Source organism: Homo sapiens, chromosome 16 (genome assembly GCF_000001405.40).
Source record: "Homo sapiens chromosome 16, GRCh38.p14 Primary Assembly".
NCBI classification, from domain to species: Eukaryota; Metazoa; Chordata; class Mammalia; order Primates; family Hominidae; genus Homo; species Homo sapiens.
Genome location: NC_000016.10, coordinates 10120317 through 10135755, shown reverse-complemented (window position 1 = coordinate 10135755; position 15439 = coordinate 10120317). Strand labels below are relative to the sequence as shown.

The 15439-nt window shown below is 44.2% G+C and overlaps 1 protein-coding gene across 7 annotated transcripts in view; it reads left to right on the top strand.

Annotated features, from left to right (window-relative positions):
* GRIN2A (glutamate ionotropic receptor NMDA type subunit 2A) overlaps positions 1–15439 on the top strand; it is a 429505-nt gene that overhangs the window by 47153 nt on the left and 366913 nt on the right. The window lies entirely within an intron of this gene.

Sequence of the window (15439 nt, the reverse complement as noted above, 5' to 3'; positions counted from 1 at the left end):
TGAAGAGTAAATTCCACCTGAGGAGAGAAGGTTTAGCTCATGCCCAGAAGTTCCAGCCTGCCCTGTGGATATTGGACTTACCTACCCATTCCCCACAATCATGTAAGCCAATTCCTTGTCATGTATTTCTTAATATATGTCTCCCGCTCATCTGTTCCTTTAATTGAACCCTCAATAATACAGATTTTGGTGCCAAGAATAGGGCTCTGTTGTAACAAATACCTTAAAAAGTGGCAGTGGCCTTGGAATTGTGTGTTGGGCAGAGGCTAGAATAATTTGGAGACACATCAGAGAAAAAGACTAGACATCCTTCAACAGACTGTGAGTGGAAATACGAATGCTAACAGTTCTGTTTCTGGGGACTCAGAAGTAAGAAACATGTTAGAGAAGGCATACATCATTTTAGAGACTACCTAAATCATCATGAACAGACTTTTGGTGGAAATATGGACGTTAAAAGCATTACCAGGGAGGGCTACCTACGAAGGAAATGTTATTGAAAACTGGAGGAAAGGACATCCTTGTTATATAGTGGCAGAGCATTTATCTGAATTATATGCTACAGTTGTGTGGAAATCTGAACTTGCAAGCAATGAACTTGGTAAAGTGTTGAAGGGGCAGCCTGGTTTCTTCTTGCTCCTTTTAGTAAAATGTGAGAGGAAAGAGATTGAAGCAAGAACTGTTAAGCAAAAAGAAAGCAAGATTTGATGACTTGGGAAATTCTCAGCCTATCTGGATTGCAAAAGATGCTAAAATTAGGAGATTTACTATCAGGAAAGCATGTTAGGAAAGGGTATGGCTGAACAGTTTTTTTTTGCTAGTTCGTTGGAAAGATAAAAAGTCCCAGTATTCAGCCACACAGAGTGCTCTTTGAAGAGATTAGGTATGAGACTCATGTACCCCTTGGCCATCAAATCAGAAGCAAAGAATAGATATTAGGATTATCTAGGAAAGAACTGTGAAGAACCATTTTTTGTCTGATGGAGTGAATCCCCATGACATACTCAGGAGACCCATAAGGTTTTTGAAATTTCCTACCAGCATAAACATTGGCAATTTGGACAGAAGGGAACAGAGAAGATAAAATGAAGGAAGGCCATTACACTCCCTAAATTTTTTTTTTATTATTATTATACTCGAAGTTCTAGGGTACATGTGCACAATGTGCAGGTTTGTTACATAGGTATACATGTCCCCTGTTGGTTTGCTGCACCCATCAACTCATCATTTACATTAAGTATTTCTCCTAATGCTATCCCTCCCCCAGCCCCCTACCCCCTGACAGGCCCCGGTGTGTGATATTCCCCGCCTTCTGTCCAAGTGTTCTCATTGTTCAATTATCACCTATGATATACTCCCCAAATTCTACAGGCAGGAAATGACGGTTAAAACTCTTAGGCTGGAAACACATATTACCCTTCATGAGAAAGGACTGGTTACTCAGAGGGTAGAGCCTCAAGCTCAAAGGACAGAGATGGGAGAGGATTATTTCTAGGCTTTGAAGCCTAATGTTTGCCTAACTGAATCTCTCCTCTCCATTTTTTTTTTTTTTTTTTTTTTCTGGAAACAGTGTCTCACCCTGAAGGCCAGACTGGAGTGTGGTGATGTGATCACTCACTGCACCTTCGACTTCCTGGTCTCAAGTGATTCTCCCACCTCAGCCTCCTGAGTAGGTTGGACTACAGGCATGCACCACCATACCCAGCTAATCTGTTTTTGTATTTTTTTTTTCTTTTTCAGAGGTGGGGTTTCACCACGTTGTCCAGGTTGGTCTCCAATGTCTGGGCTCAAGCATTCCAACCACCTTGGCCTCCCATAGTGTTAGGATTACAGGGATTAGCCACTGCATCCGGACTGCCTAACTGAATTCCAAAATTGTTTGGATGTGGTAACTTGTTTTTTCTTTTCATTGATTCCTTTTTTAATCAAAAACCCCTGTAACTGATATCCCATGCCTGTTCCACAATTGCATCTGGGGAGCAGATAATCCGTTTTCTAGTTTTACAGGTCCACAGTTGGAGAGAAACTTTGACCCAGGAGGGATCATGCTCAGATTCTTATAAGTACTTGACTTAGGTGATTGAGATAAGATTTTAGACATCTGAGCTCATGAGATTTATTTATTTATTTATAATTATTATTTTTTTTGAGACTGAATCTCACTCTGTCAACCCAGGCTGGAGTGCAGTGGCATGATATTGGCTCACTGCAACCTCCACCTCCCGGGTTCAAGCGCTTCTCGTGCCTCAGCCTTCAGAGTAGCTGGGATTATGGGTGCACAGCACCGTGCCTGGCTAATTTTTGTATTTTTAGTAGAGACTGGTTTCATCATGTTGGCCAGGCTGGTCTCGAACTCCTGACCTCAGGTGATCCACCCGCCTTGGCCTCCCAAAATGCTGGGATTACAGGCATGAGTCACTGTGCCTGGTCTGATGAGATTTTGATGAAAATTTTGGACTTTGACACTATCGTGAGTTAGTTTTGGGGAGATGGAGTGAATCTTTCGGAGCAAGATGGTGGCCTGGCAGGCAGAACTACGACCTCTCAAAGATGTTCACCTTCTAAACTCTGACTCCTGTATAAATGTTATGATTTATGGCAAAAGGGATTTTGAAGATGTGATTAAGTTATGGATCCATCTTGAGATGAGAGCCTCATCCAAAATTATCTGGTGGGCCCAATATAATTGTGACTGTACTTATAAGAGGCGGGCATGGAAGAGTCAGAGAAGGAGATGTGACCATGGAAACAGAGTTAGAGTGATGTGGCCATGAGCTAAGGAATGTGGGCAGACTCTACAAACTGGAAAAGGTAAGAAATGGATTCTCCTCTAAAGCCTTAGAAGGAAGCACTAGGAAGGCCTGCTGGTCCATTTTAGGTTTCTGACCTCCAGGACTTTAATACATTTTACATCACTCTAAGCCACTAACTTTATGGCAATTTGTTACAGCAGCAATGGGAAACTTATAATCTGTTAAGTGCCAGGTCTTCTGCTACACTGCTTAGACGTATTATTTTGCTTCTTTCTGCAGTCCTTTAGGACATACGTACTAAATTCCCATTTTGTGGTTGTGGAAACCGAGGCAATGAAAGTTCAGATAGCTTGCTTAAAATGACAGATCTAGTTAGTGGTGGCTCTGGGATTTAACCCCATGCCCGAATGATTCCAATGCCTATGGACTAGCTCTTGCATGATAAATGTCAAGGGACATGAGGAGTTAGGTCAGAAAGCCATCACGACATAGCTCAATGTGTGGCTTTACATTTGACGTAGGATGACCTAGTGGTAAGTGGTATAGCACCTGTTTAGGTGCACTGGAGACATGTTGCATGGCCCCAAATCCAGCTTTGCCACCCATTACTGGCTGAGTTTACTTTGGACAAGTTATTTCACATCTTTTTTTTTTTTTTTTTTGAGACGGTGTCTTGTTCTGCTCATTCTGTTGCCCAGGCTGGAGTGCAGTGGCACAATCTCAGCTCGCTGCAACCTCTGCCTCCCGGGTTCAAGCGATTCTCCTGCCTCAGGTTCCTGAGTAGCTAGGATTACAGGCATGCACCACCACGCCCGGCTAATTTTTGTATTTTTAGAAGAGATGGGATTTCACTATGTTGGCCAGGCTGGCCTTGAATTCCTGACTTCAAGTGATCTGCCTGCCTGAGTCTCCCAAAGTGCTGGGATTACAGGCGCGAGCCACCAAGCCCAGACTATTTCACATCTCTGAACCTCAGTTTCCTTACTTATAAATGGGGATTATAATACTTTTTTTTAGGGATATGGAGCTTAGAGGAGAATAATGGTGGTAAAATGCTTAGTGCAGTGCCTGACACATCATAAGCGCTCATAAGTAAAATAATAACAGTAGTAGTAATAATAACAATAATAACATGCTAATAATAATGGCGAATTACTCTTCCTGTTTTGCCACTCTAGGCAGAGGGATATTAGTGAAGAGAATACAAGATCCATGGTGGGTCAGGGGCACAAGTGTGTTACAAGCAAAAAGAACAGCAGGCACTCAGGCCATTGCCTATGAAATGTTCTTCCCCACCTCTTAAACTGGCTAATCCCATTCAAAAGCCATGTCTCCCAGGAAGTCTTCCCTGACCTTCTTGGCTGAAACAGACGCCCTTTCTCTGAGGGCCTATCACAGAAGGTACTTTCCTACTCTAGTCTTGTCAATGCATTTGAAGCCTCTCTCAGTAGCCTGGAAACTCCGAGAGCAGAGGTGCTCTCTGTCCCTCTCTTATTTATTGTTATACCCTGAGCATTAAAAAAAAAAAAAATGGGATAAGTGGTGAGAAGAGACTGGAGCGGCAGGCCTTGGCCATGCTAGGAGGGACCCTTTAGCTTCCAACTTCCCGATGAATTTCCCCCCGAGTTGGTTTGCTTTGTCTTTGTAACTGAGAACAGCCTAGGGAGAAGCATGGACATGGGGGACCTGCAGGCATGAGACTGGTTGCTTAGCATCTCCATGGCCCCTCACTACTACAGCCCACTCTACATGCTGTTCTGGGCCTCATTAAAACCTGTTCTCCACTAGCCTCGGTGTTTAATATTTATCGATCACCCACAGCATGCAAGCTGGTCAATAAGTGTTTTCAGAAGCCTCACTCCATGCCATCTTGATCAGCCCCTGCCGCTATTTTCCATCATGCCAGCTCTTGAAATCTTGTGGATGTGCCTTGAATTTTTTAAGTGCTTTTCTAACAAAAGTCCCGACTGCAGAGATGCAGAAGCTTAAGTTCCATTTCATTTGCCTCCTGAACCTTGAGGGCACTGGTTTTTATATTGCTGCCTCTGTCCCTCTTAGTCCTCAGTCCCCACACTTCTCAGGATAGCTGAAGAGATGAGTCTGTGTTTGGCTCTGAGTTCCAGCTCCCTGGCAGCTATGGATTATATGTTAGCACAATCCATTTTACTCCCCCAGCTGTTTACTTTCCTGGGGACCTGCTTGAGTCAGGCTGCTCCCGAACTCCCTTAATGAAGACATGACAGTGGGTGGCTGGAGACGAGAAGTTGCAGGAGAAGCGAGAAGGAGAGAGAGAGTCCCCTGGGTTATATCCCTGTTACTCAACATTGTTGAATTAGATCCTCAACATTCCATCATGTGATGTTTGGATGCTGGGAGGGGAGTTAAATATAGAATTCCTCCTTTTGGCATTTCAGAAGGTTTATATAATGTCCTGTTCCTTTTGACAGTGGGGAGAAAGTGAATAGGATGGCTTGGAAGATGGGTCTGTGTCCGGAGCTCCATTTAAAGTCTACTCAGCAGCCTGACCCATCTGCCTACTCAGGGGATGTTCGGTGAATCATGTTTGCAAAGGCACAGATGCCCTTTTGAGCCCAAAGATCTGCTCAGCTCGAAAATTCTATTAATTCTAAGATTCTACAAGTAGCCTTCACAAGAGTGGATGCTGAAAATAGATCAGCCACGTGGTATGCCCTGAATTTGCCTGGATTACTGATTTGATTTTCCCCTCAATGTTTCCCTGAACCTGGCCTGGAAATTCAGCTTGCTTTACCATTTGAACCCTGCCGTGGAGTCCCAGGGACCAGCGTTCCAAGTCTGCCTCTATCATTTCCCAGCCATGTAACCTTGAATGAGTCTCTTGGCTTTTCTGAGTCTCATTGTCTTTAGCATGTCCCCATACCTATCTCTCCTTCTTACTTTCTTGTCTTAGTAAATGACCTCATTTTCCATCTAGCTGTTCAAACTACAAACCTACAAGTCACCTTTGATTTCTCTCTCCCTCTTACCTGCTATGTAGAAACCATCAGCAAGGGCTTCTAGCTCTGCCCTTAACACAGATCCATGAAACATGCTTCTACCTTCACTGCAACTCCTTATGAAATCTGCATTCAGTGACAGCAGCATCTTCTAAACTGGTATCTTCTTCCAGCTTTGACATCCTATGATCAATGCATGACCTCGCTGGTCGAGTGAGTAAGAACGATGACAAAACCCATATCTTGAATCACATGCATCTTTATTAAAATCTTCCTCCAGCTTTCCATTTTACCTAGAATTAAAATCAATTGCTTGCTGTGGCCTAGAAGGAGCACCATAATCTCCTGCTTATATCTCAGACCAAATCCTGCTCTCTTTTCCCTTGGTCCTTTATCTTTCTGGAACATTCCTCACACTCACCTTTGCACTTGTTGTTCCGTTTGCTTGGGAATTTCTTCCCCTGGACCTTTCTGTGGTTGTCTTGTTCTCACCATTCAAGTTTCGTCTCAAACATTGCTGACTGTGACAGGCTGTTCATGATCATCCAAGTTCAAGTAGCCTCCACTCTAGCCATTAGCCCATTACTCAGCTTCATTTTCTCCTATAGCTTAGCTCTATCTAAGTATTATATGGTTAGTGTTTTGTTTTTTTTTTAATCAAACTCCTCCCATTAAAGCATGTGTCCTTTGAAAGCAGGGACATTAGTCATTTCTATATCTTAAGAGAGTTATCACCAGCCTGGGCAACACAGAGAGACTTTGTCTCTACTAAAAACTAAAATGACTTCACCAGGTGTCATGGCTTACACCTGCAGTCCCAGCTACATAGGAAGCTGAGGTAGGACGATCACTTGAGCCCAGAAATTTGAGGCTGCAGTGAGCTCTGATCGTGCCACTGCATTCCAGCCTGGGCAACAGAGCGAGACCCTGTTTTAAAAAAGTAAGTCACGCACGTAGTAGGTGCTTAAAAAAAAAAGTGATGCACATAGTAGGTGCTTAATAAATATCTGTTAAATGAATAAAGATTGGTTACGGGGATGAAATAAGAGCGTGCTCAGGTATGCACAGACACACTCGTGCACATATGTGCATTGAAACTGCCATGGTAAGAAATACTATTGTTAATAGCTGGGAGCCAGAATTTCTATGACTCTCCAGTTGCATCAGGCCTCCCTTGACTGTATTATGCTCCTAAGAAACTTTTCTTGCCTTTTGTTGAATTAAAATTCTTTAACTTCTCAGCTATCTCATGGATCTTTGCATCTGTTTTGCATCTGTTTCTTAGCAGCCTAGCTTGGCGCATGGTGCTTTATAGAGACATTTAGCATGTAAAGATATTTATAAAGGAGGGATTCTCTTCTATTTTTGCCCAGTCATCTGTTGGAGAGAGGGGGAGCAGCAAGCAGGCACACATGATTCATGCTCTTGCCTGGAGGGTGCTGCCCACCTCTAGCCTAGAAGAGTGGGGTGGCAGGAGCCCTCTGCATTCCAAGGCTGGTTCCAGTGAATGGAGCATCTACAGTGGTGGTTTGGCCAATCTCAACATTCTGTAATGGCCTCTTCTTTACAGTTCACACTTCCCAGATAGGTTAATATTACAGCTCCTTCCATCAGAATGTCCTTAAGTGTGTAGCTGCAAAGTTGAGGGGTACAGTTCATAAAACGATCATTTCTGACATCACTTGGAAGATTGAGGGCTGCCAAGACCACCCTTATCTTTGATAATTCACTGGAAACTCACAAAACTCGCTGCAAGCTGTTGCACCCACGGCTATGGCTTGTTATAGCTGAAGGATACAGACTAAAATCAGCCAAAAGAGGGACACATAGGCAGAATCATGAAAGGTCCAACCGTGAGCTGCCAGTGGTGATCTTCCTACGGAATCATGGACAGTGCCACCTTCTCAGCAACAATGGATGAAAATAAGCATGGGACGTTGCCAACAAGGGAAGCTCACTGAGCCTTGGCGTGCAGAGTCTTTTTTGGGGTCTGCTGTTGAGTTCTTATATGGGTGACCTTGGCTTCCAGGTCCTCTGGAGGTTGAGCTCATGCTATGTGATTCTAAGCCCCCACTCTAAATCACACTGTTAGACTCTCTGGTGTGACCCAAGGCCCCCACAAGCAAAAAAACACTCCTATCCAGGCATGACATTCCCAGGGCTTAGTAAGACACCAAGGGTAAAGACCAGACTTCTTTTTGGGCGAGGTTTAATTCTTTACTATGGAAGAGCTCAACTTGATACTCTTGGTATGGATGACTTACGTAGATAGCGGTGGTGCTGGCCCTTTTCTTGCTTCCAGTGCCTGAATTCATCCATCAATTCCACAAATATTTATTGATTGTGAGCTAGGTGCCAGGCTCTGTGCTAGTTGCTAGGGATACAGTGGTGAAGGACATAGTTCATGCTATAAAAAGGCTGGGGAGACAGATAAACAGGCAATTATTCTTATATATAAATATACCATGATGCTAGAAATGATACTAAAGGCTCTTGGTGCACAAGGGTGCCTGGCACAGTTGCTGGTGAAGACCTCCCAGGGCGGTGGTAGTTAGGCTAAGATTGGAAAAATGATTAGAAGTTGGCCAACCAGGGTGGAGTATGGGGGTAGGGAGGTAGTGTTTAGGTGGAGGAATATCACATGCAGAGGTTGAGTGGTGAGAAAGTTCTTGAGGATGGTAAGGAGCTCCACATTTTCATGGATGCCACAGCTCACAGGTGATTCATCTTGAACATACAGCCAATAAACACCCAAAGACTTTCCCATCTTGTACCAAGGCAGGTGGATTTTTTTTTTTTTCAAGACTGAATCTCTGTTGCCAGGCTGGAGTGGAGTGGCACGATCTCTGCTCACTGCAATCTCTACCTCCCAGGTTCAAGCGTTTCTCCCAAGGCAAGTGGATTTTGAAATCAAGAAAATGGGGTTCATGAGAGAAATTCTTGGCCCCTGTTGCTGTCAGGAAGGCTTTTAGACTAAAAAGAATGGAGCTAATGAAAGCAGTTGGATAGGGCAAGCGTGTGAGCATTGGCTTTCACTGGCTTAGGGCAGCTCCAACTCCCCCAGAAAAGGCTCTTTGTTTATGGTGAGGTCAGGACTTCAGAGTGTGACTCAGAAGGTCCTCAGAGCTGGTAAAAAGTGTAGACTGGTGCTGTAGGCCAAAAGACAAGGTTTATAAAAGCAGAAGGATTTCTGAGACATCTTGGACATGTGAGCAGGTGACTCACAGACGTTCTAGAAACCATATTTCAAAGACAATATTTTTGGCAGAATCAAATGGTTGCTTTGTGGTCGTTTCAGGGAGTTCCAGCAATAACATAAAGAAAATTAACAGAAACCAACAAATGGTAGGGAAAAACGTTGGTGATACGTGCCAAAGGGTTACTATCTTTAACGCACAAAGATGACTTACAAATTAAGAAAAAGACAAAACACCCTAAAAGAAAAATGGAAGAGAAATGAGTAACATGTGATTAGAGAATAAAAACTCAATGGCTAATAGATGCCCAAGAAAATAGTAAACCCTGCCAATACTGCAAAATATTTGAAATACGGTAATGAAACTGGCTGGGCACTGGCTCTTGCCTCTATTTCTAGTGCTTTGGGAGGCAGTGGCAGGAGTGTTGCTTGAGGCCAGGAGTTTGAGACCAGTCTGGGTAACATAGCGAGACCCCCCTCTCTACAAAAAATAATTTTTTTAAATGAGCCAGGTGTGGTGGTGCACGCCTGTAGTCTGTTTCTTGGAAGCCTGAGGCAGGAGGATCACTTGAGCCTAGGAATTTGAGGCTGCAGTGAGCTCTGATTGTGCCACTGCATTCCAGCCTGGGCGACAGAGCGAGATCCTATCTCAAAAAAAAATATATATATATATAAAGAAATCCATCAACTCACACAAAAATGTTGTTGATGGGACTTTGCATTATTCTTATAATTAAGAAAAGCAAAATGAAAATTCAGTAAGCAAAACAGTGCAGTTGGAAGGAGCTCTAAGCCTCCCTACTTCATTCTGGTGAAGGCAGGGAGTCAGGAAGGAGTCTGGGGCTCCTCCTGTCTGTGTCCTCATTTTGTCTCCCACCTCCTGGCCCCCAGTTTTCCTGCAGGTGTGAGTGTGTCAGACCTCCTTCTGCTCTGAGTGGGAGAGAACTCGCTGTACTCTAGGGAGCTGAGTTTGGGGAAAGACTGGCCCTTAAGCATCCTCCCACCCAGCCTTTACCCCCAGCTCTCTCTCCCTGTAGGACGCCTGATTTTCTTGGCAGAGGAAGAAGCTACCCTCCATCCACTTTCCCAGGGTAGGCAAGGCAGCCTCTTCCCCTGGGCCATCCAGCCTCCTGTAGGCCTGGGGCTTAGCAAAACAGCCAGGGAGGGGAGACTCGGAACAGTCTTTTTTTTTTTTTTTTTCCTCCCACCATGAGCAGTATGAGGATGATGCCTTAGCTCCATTGCTTTGCTCTCAGCCTTCAGACTTGCTGTAGGAGAATCTCTGCTGTACCCTGTCATGTCTTAGATTTGTGTAATTGAGGGAGGCCTCCCAGGCAATTTAAGTAGGGATTTACTTATTCCTTGGGAGTGCTGAGCTTGTAGTGGAGGAATGGTCTACTCACTAGTGTATTTACTCGACTTCTCCTAACAAGGGTCTTTCCACTTGGGGTTGTTCTGTCCAGCATCCCTTGGGACTTCCAGGGAAAGCCAAATATTCTTTGCTGCCCCTGCTTCTTCGACAATAAATGCAAAAAGTTTGAAAAAATCCCGTACTGGTGTTGTGTCACCAGGGTCAAAGACCTTGAATCTCTAGTAAGAAGTAGAAGGCGTCAAGAGGTCAAGTTCTGACTCCATAGTTTCAGGACATTGTGGGACTTGATTGCTGCAGTGTGAAATTTATGGTTTTGTAAGACAGATTTAAAACCCTTTCATGGCATCTTGTAGCCTTTGGAATAAAATCCAACATCCTCACCATGGCCTATGAAGAGACCCTGCATGATTTGGGCACTACGTGCTTTTTTGGGGCTTTGTTTGCTGTCATTTTCCTCCTTGTTCTTTCCAACCCTAGGGGCTTTGTCCTCATGGTTCCCTATGCCTGGAATGCTCTTCCCACTATTCTGCACTGGTTGACGATGACTTCTTCACAACTTGGCTTTTGGGGCATTTCCTTTGAGAGGGCTTCGTGACAGTCCTGCTAACCTTTTCCATAGGAGCCCTCATGTCATTAGCTGTACCACAACTTTAACTTGTATGTGTTCATTTACATGTTTCTGTCTCTTCTGTGAAATGGTTGCTCCTTGAGAGTGGGGCCTCTGCTCTGTCTTGTACAACACCTGACACACGGGCCAACTTATAAATATCATGAATGAATGAATGAATGGATAGCTCTCTAGTTATCAATTGTGACTGTATCTTTCCCTGCCATCTCCCAGCTCCGTCTCACCTGGACCACCTGGAAAAACCTCTTGTACCCCATAATTTCAGTGCCCCTGTCTGTATCTGAGGCTATGGAAAAGCTCTCTACCCAAGCACCAAGGAATCCTGCCCTTTTCCGCTTGCCCGGATAAACAAAGAGTTATCAAGGCTAAGTTGCCAGTTATGTTGGCTTCTTCTCCTGTTTGCTCTTGGGAGGATAGGATTTTGATTACAAGCATAACAGCCTCCAGTTATTGAGCATCTACTGCATACAGGGCAGGCACTTTGCATACATGATCCCTGATCTTCATAGTATCCCTACATGGTAGGTTTTATTATCCCAATGTTGTAAGTAAGCAAACGAAGGATCTCACAGGTCAGTTTGCTCCCTGGGCCACCTGACCTGTGCTCTTTTTTCCCTATACATCGTGGCCTAGGTTTTGGAACACACAAGGGCACGCACACGGCCCTTCTCAGACTATGACAATATAGTGCACTGCAATACCTCGCTTTTTTAACAACCTAAGCTGATGGGTTGAGTTGTGAGAGTCAGAAGCTTGCAATTTCACTTCATCTGTCTCTGGAGACTATTCTGGCTTTCTACTGCCTGGAAAGAAGGTGGGAACAAGGGCTCTGTGAGGGATGATTACACCAGGGCAGAAACAGCTCACCTCTTGAGTGCTCATGTGCCATACACTGTGCCGAGTGATTTATACATATAGCTTTCTGTAACCCACGGAGCAGCTCTATTTGTACTGTTATTTTGAGCACTATTCTGCAAATGTGGAAGCTGAGGCACACAGTAAGAAAGGGTAAACAGTGGAGGCTGGATGCAAACCCAGGTAGTCTGATTACAGAGTTTGAAAGCTCAGCCACCAGGTACCTACCAACCAGCTAAACAGATCTCATCATTCAAAGTGTGGTCCATGCACCAGCAGCTTTGACATCCTCTGGGAACCTGAATGCAGAATCTCAGGTCCCATCCAGACTGACCGAGCTAGAATCTGCCTCTTAACAAGATCCCTCGGCGATTCACGTGCATGTTAAAGTTTGAGAAGAACTGCCCCAGAAATTCTATGAATATAAAGTAAGTGCCATTTTCCTGAAGTCAAAAGCTGGAGATTTAGAGCATCAGTGTTCTTAGAAACAACGTGCGACTTCAGTATCTTGCAAACTATGGCATCAACGAGGAGCTGTTCCTTTGCTTGAGGGAATTAGTGATGACAAATGAATTTAGTATTTTCAACAAAAATAAAAGCAAGTTGAGCTTGCATAGTTGATCCAAGGCTTTAAAAAAAAGAGGCTGCTTCAGCCTGCAGGATGTTGTTGACATAGTATTACATCTAAGTACGCAGGGAGCCCCGAGCCAGGGTTGCTGGAGTGTCCCTATTGCAAGGGAAGTTTTGGCAAACACAATCTAGGGATTGAAAAGGTAACTCCTTCATTAGATCTGCCTGGAATTTACACATCTGCAAATGTGAGAGGACAAAAAGGACTTTTGATCCAAGAGAGATCGGCCCCATCTCCCTGTGCTGGGAAAAAACTTTGATTTTCTTCTTTGATGTGAAACATTGCCATTGCTAGCTGTATATTTGATCATAGTCACTGGACAACTTATTCAGCTCTAGTTCTTTATTAGGTCCTCATGGCTGCTTTCTTAGACATCGGAATCCTTAAAAAAGAGAATTTTATTTTATTTTTTAACCTTTCCCAGCTTATAAATGCCCCAGGGACCTGGAAATGTCCACGTGGGCTTTACCAATGATGTATGTCGTTCTGTTTGAGTCAAAATAATGAGTGGTTGCATAGATGATGATTGATATTGTGTATTTCCGAGTCGCCTCATTTTGGGGAAGGAATATGCTGATCGTGCGTCAATTTCCCTCAGGTTGGCTCTCCAGCAGGGGGCCCAAGAAGGTCTGCACCCTTTTCATGTTTCTTTGCTACTTCCTTTCATCTTGCCAAGTTACATTTAGCAGGATATTCATCTAATTCCTTTTTTAAAATTTTAATGCTCCCCATTTTTTGGGGGGGTGGGGGACAAAAAGAGCCTTTTAGGAAATAAGCATCAGGAACTAACTAATCAAAGCGAAACTTTCTGGGAGAGATCTGACAGCCGCATGCCTCTAATGACCTTCAAAAAGATCACGTGCTCCAGGCAATTACAGGATTTGGGAGAAAATAGCTCATTCTGAATAGCCGAACCTGCTGCAATGTTCATCACTTTGCAGCCGTGCCCCTACCTCCCCGCTTTTGTAGCTTCCTTACCCCGAAGCCTCCTGAAAGAGAGTTCACTTGGATTAAAACTCCTCCAGCTTTAACAAACTGCAAAGGGGACAGCTGATGCTAAAAAAGGGGATCTTGTGCACAGTGCCAGGTTTCTCCTGTAGCCAGAGTTTTTTTGGCTCTGGCTACAGAAGGTGCCTAATACATTCTGACTCATGGCCAAATATTATCAGGGGACTTTGCTGGTCAAGCTCTTGAATATGGGTGCAGCTGGAAAAATAACCTATTTGTCAATAGGTTACCAGTTTCACAGCTGGTAGTGCCCAGAAGGGCGCTGAATAAACTTCAGTGGGATCCCTGCTGCTTGGTGCTTGAAGTTCATCTGACGTGAAGCCTTTGTGAAAAGAGTATTCAGGAACCCAGTAGCAATCTTTTCCTTTATTTTAATTAGACCATGCTTCTCTCTTGTTTGCAGGGTTTTTTGAGATTTTATGCAAACTTTTAATGTTTTTGCCTGTCAGTGTTTCCATTATTTGAAATCTTTCATATTAAGTAAAATTAGCCAAGGCCAGTGCTATATTAAAGTATCAAAACTTTTAGCATTTGCTCACCCTCCTTTCCTGGGGAGAACAGGTTTCTCTACATGATTGCCTGTATGCTTTGCTATGAGTCATAGTTTAGAGAAAACCCCCACGTTCCTGTGCAATGAAAGAAGCAGCATAATGATCTCAACTCAGGCAGAATGGCCTGGAAACTCATGATATGTGGCTGCACCCAGTCGGTGCCTTTGCTTTGCTTGTGTTGGAGGTCTCTTGCATTAGTGTTATGAAAATAGATGATGAGCTCATGCCTTTGTGACTTTGTTTCTTGAGACCTGCCTGATTTCCATGGTCACAAGAACACAGAGAAAGATGTGTGGGCTCCCGGGGCTCTGCCTGACACTGTTGAGAGCGATTCCAGAGGAGAAGGTATCTGTGGGGTAATCTTCGGATGTTATTCTGAAAAGCCCCAACGTCTTCCTCATAACAGCTTCTAAGCTTGAGGACCAAGAGTTATCCTCTAAAAAGGTGTCCCCAAACAAGGTAGGTGACTTTCCCCCAGTGTTTCCAGGGGTGTGAGCCAAGACATGGGGCAAAATGATTAGGGGACCTCCTGGGTCTTGGAAGTGGTTTAATCCTTCCTGTAGCTCAATGTAACTGTCTGTGGTTGATGTCACTCGGAGTCAGGGGTAGGAGTGTGTGTGATACAGTGTAGCAGAGATGCCAATCTTTGTGGTTGCCCCACCCTTCTTGCTGTGGATTGCTGCTTTGACCAAGAGTGTTGGACCGATGAAAGTATATCCAGTCCTCAGTCTGAAATTTGACGTCTGTGGCTGGGTTTGAAAGGATGAGCTTAAATGTGGGCTTTTGAATTAGAAATAGAATAGGATTTTTCAGTTAGCATCGTGGATACAGGGGCTGAAAAGATGCCACAATGAGCTGAAGTTAGGAAGGATCAGGGGACAGCTGTGGGAGGAGGACAGTGTGGGGATGACTGGAGGGGAGTGGAAATAGGGGACCATGGGGCAGGGGAGTGGGGAGAGAATATGAAGGCTTCTGGTAGCAATCTGCATGTGTCCTTACAATAAACAGTTTCTCTTGAACTAACTGGAGTGGGTCTCTTTCCTTGACCATGCGGAAGACCTAATATAAGAAAGGAAACAAAGAGATTGCAGGTGTCTTCCAGAGAGAAGATCTGTTTTCCTGTGTGTTTTAATGTGGAGTCTCTTTCTGGTCTGCTTACCCACTCCTTGCCCCCTGCATCCACCCCCCTTGTATATTTTTCCCTTAATGAAAAGAAAATAGAGATCATTTTAATACAGAGGTAAAATTCTAGGGCCTCCCCAGAAAACTGTTTCATGAATGAGGAAGCTAAGAAAAAGGGCCACTGGCTTTAAAGCCCAGTAGGTTAAATAGGAGAACGGAGAAAGTTATAAAATGATTAATTGGTCAAGTTGGGATGGGAACCTTAGGTTATAATATCAAGATTTAACCTTGGCACTATGGACATTTTGAGCAGGAGAATTCTTTGCTGTGGGAGGGGCTGTTCTGTGC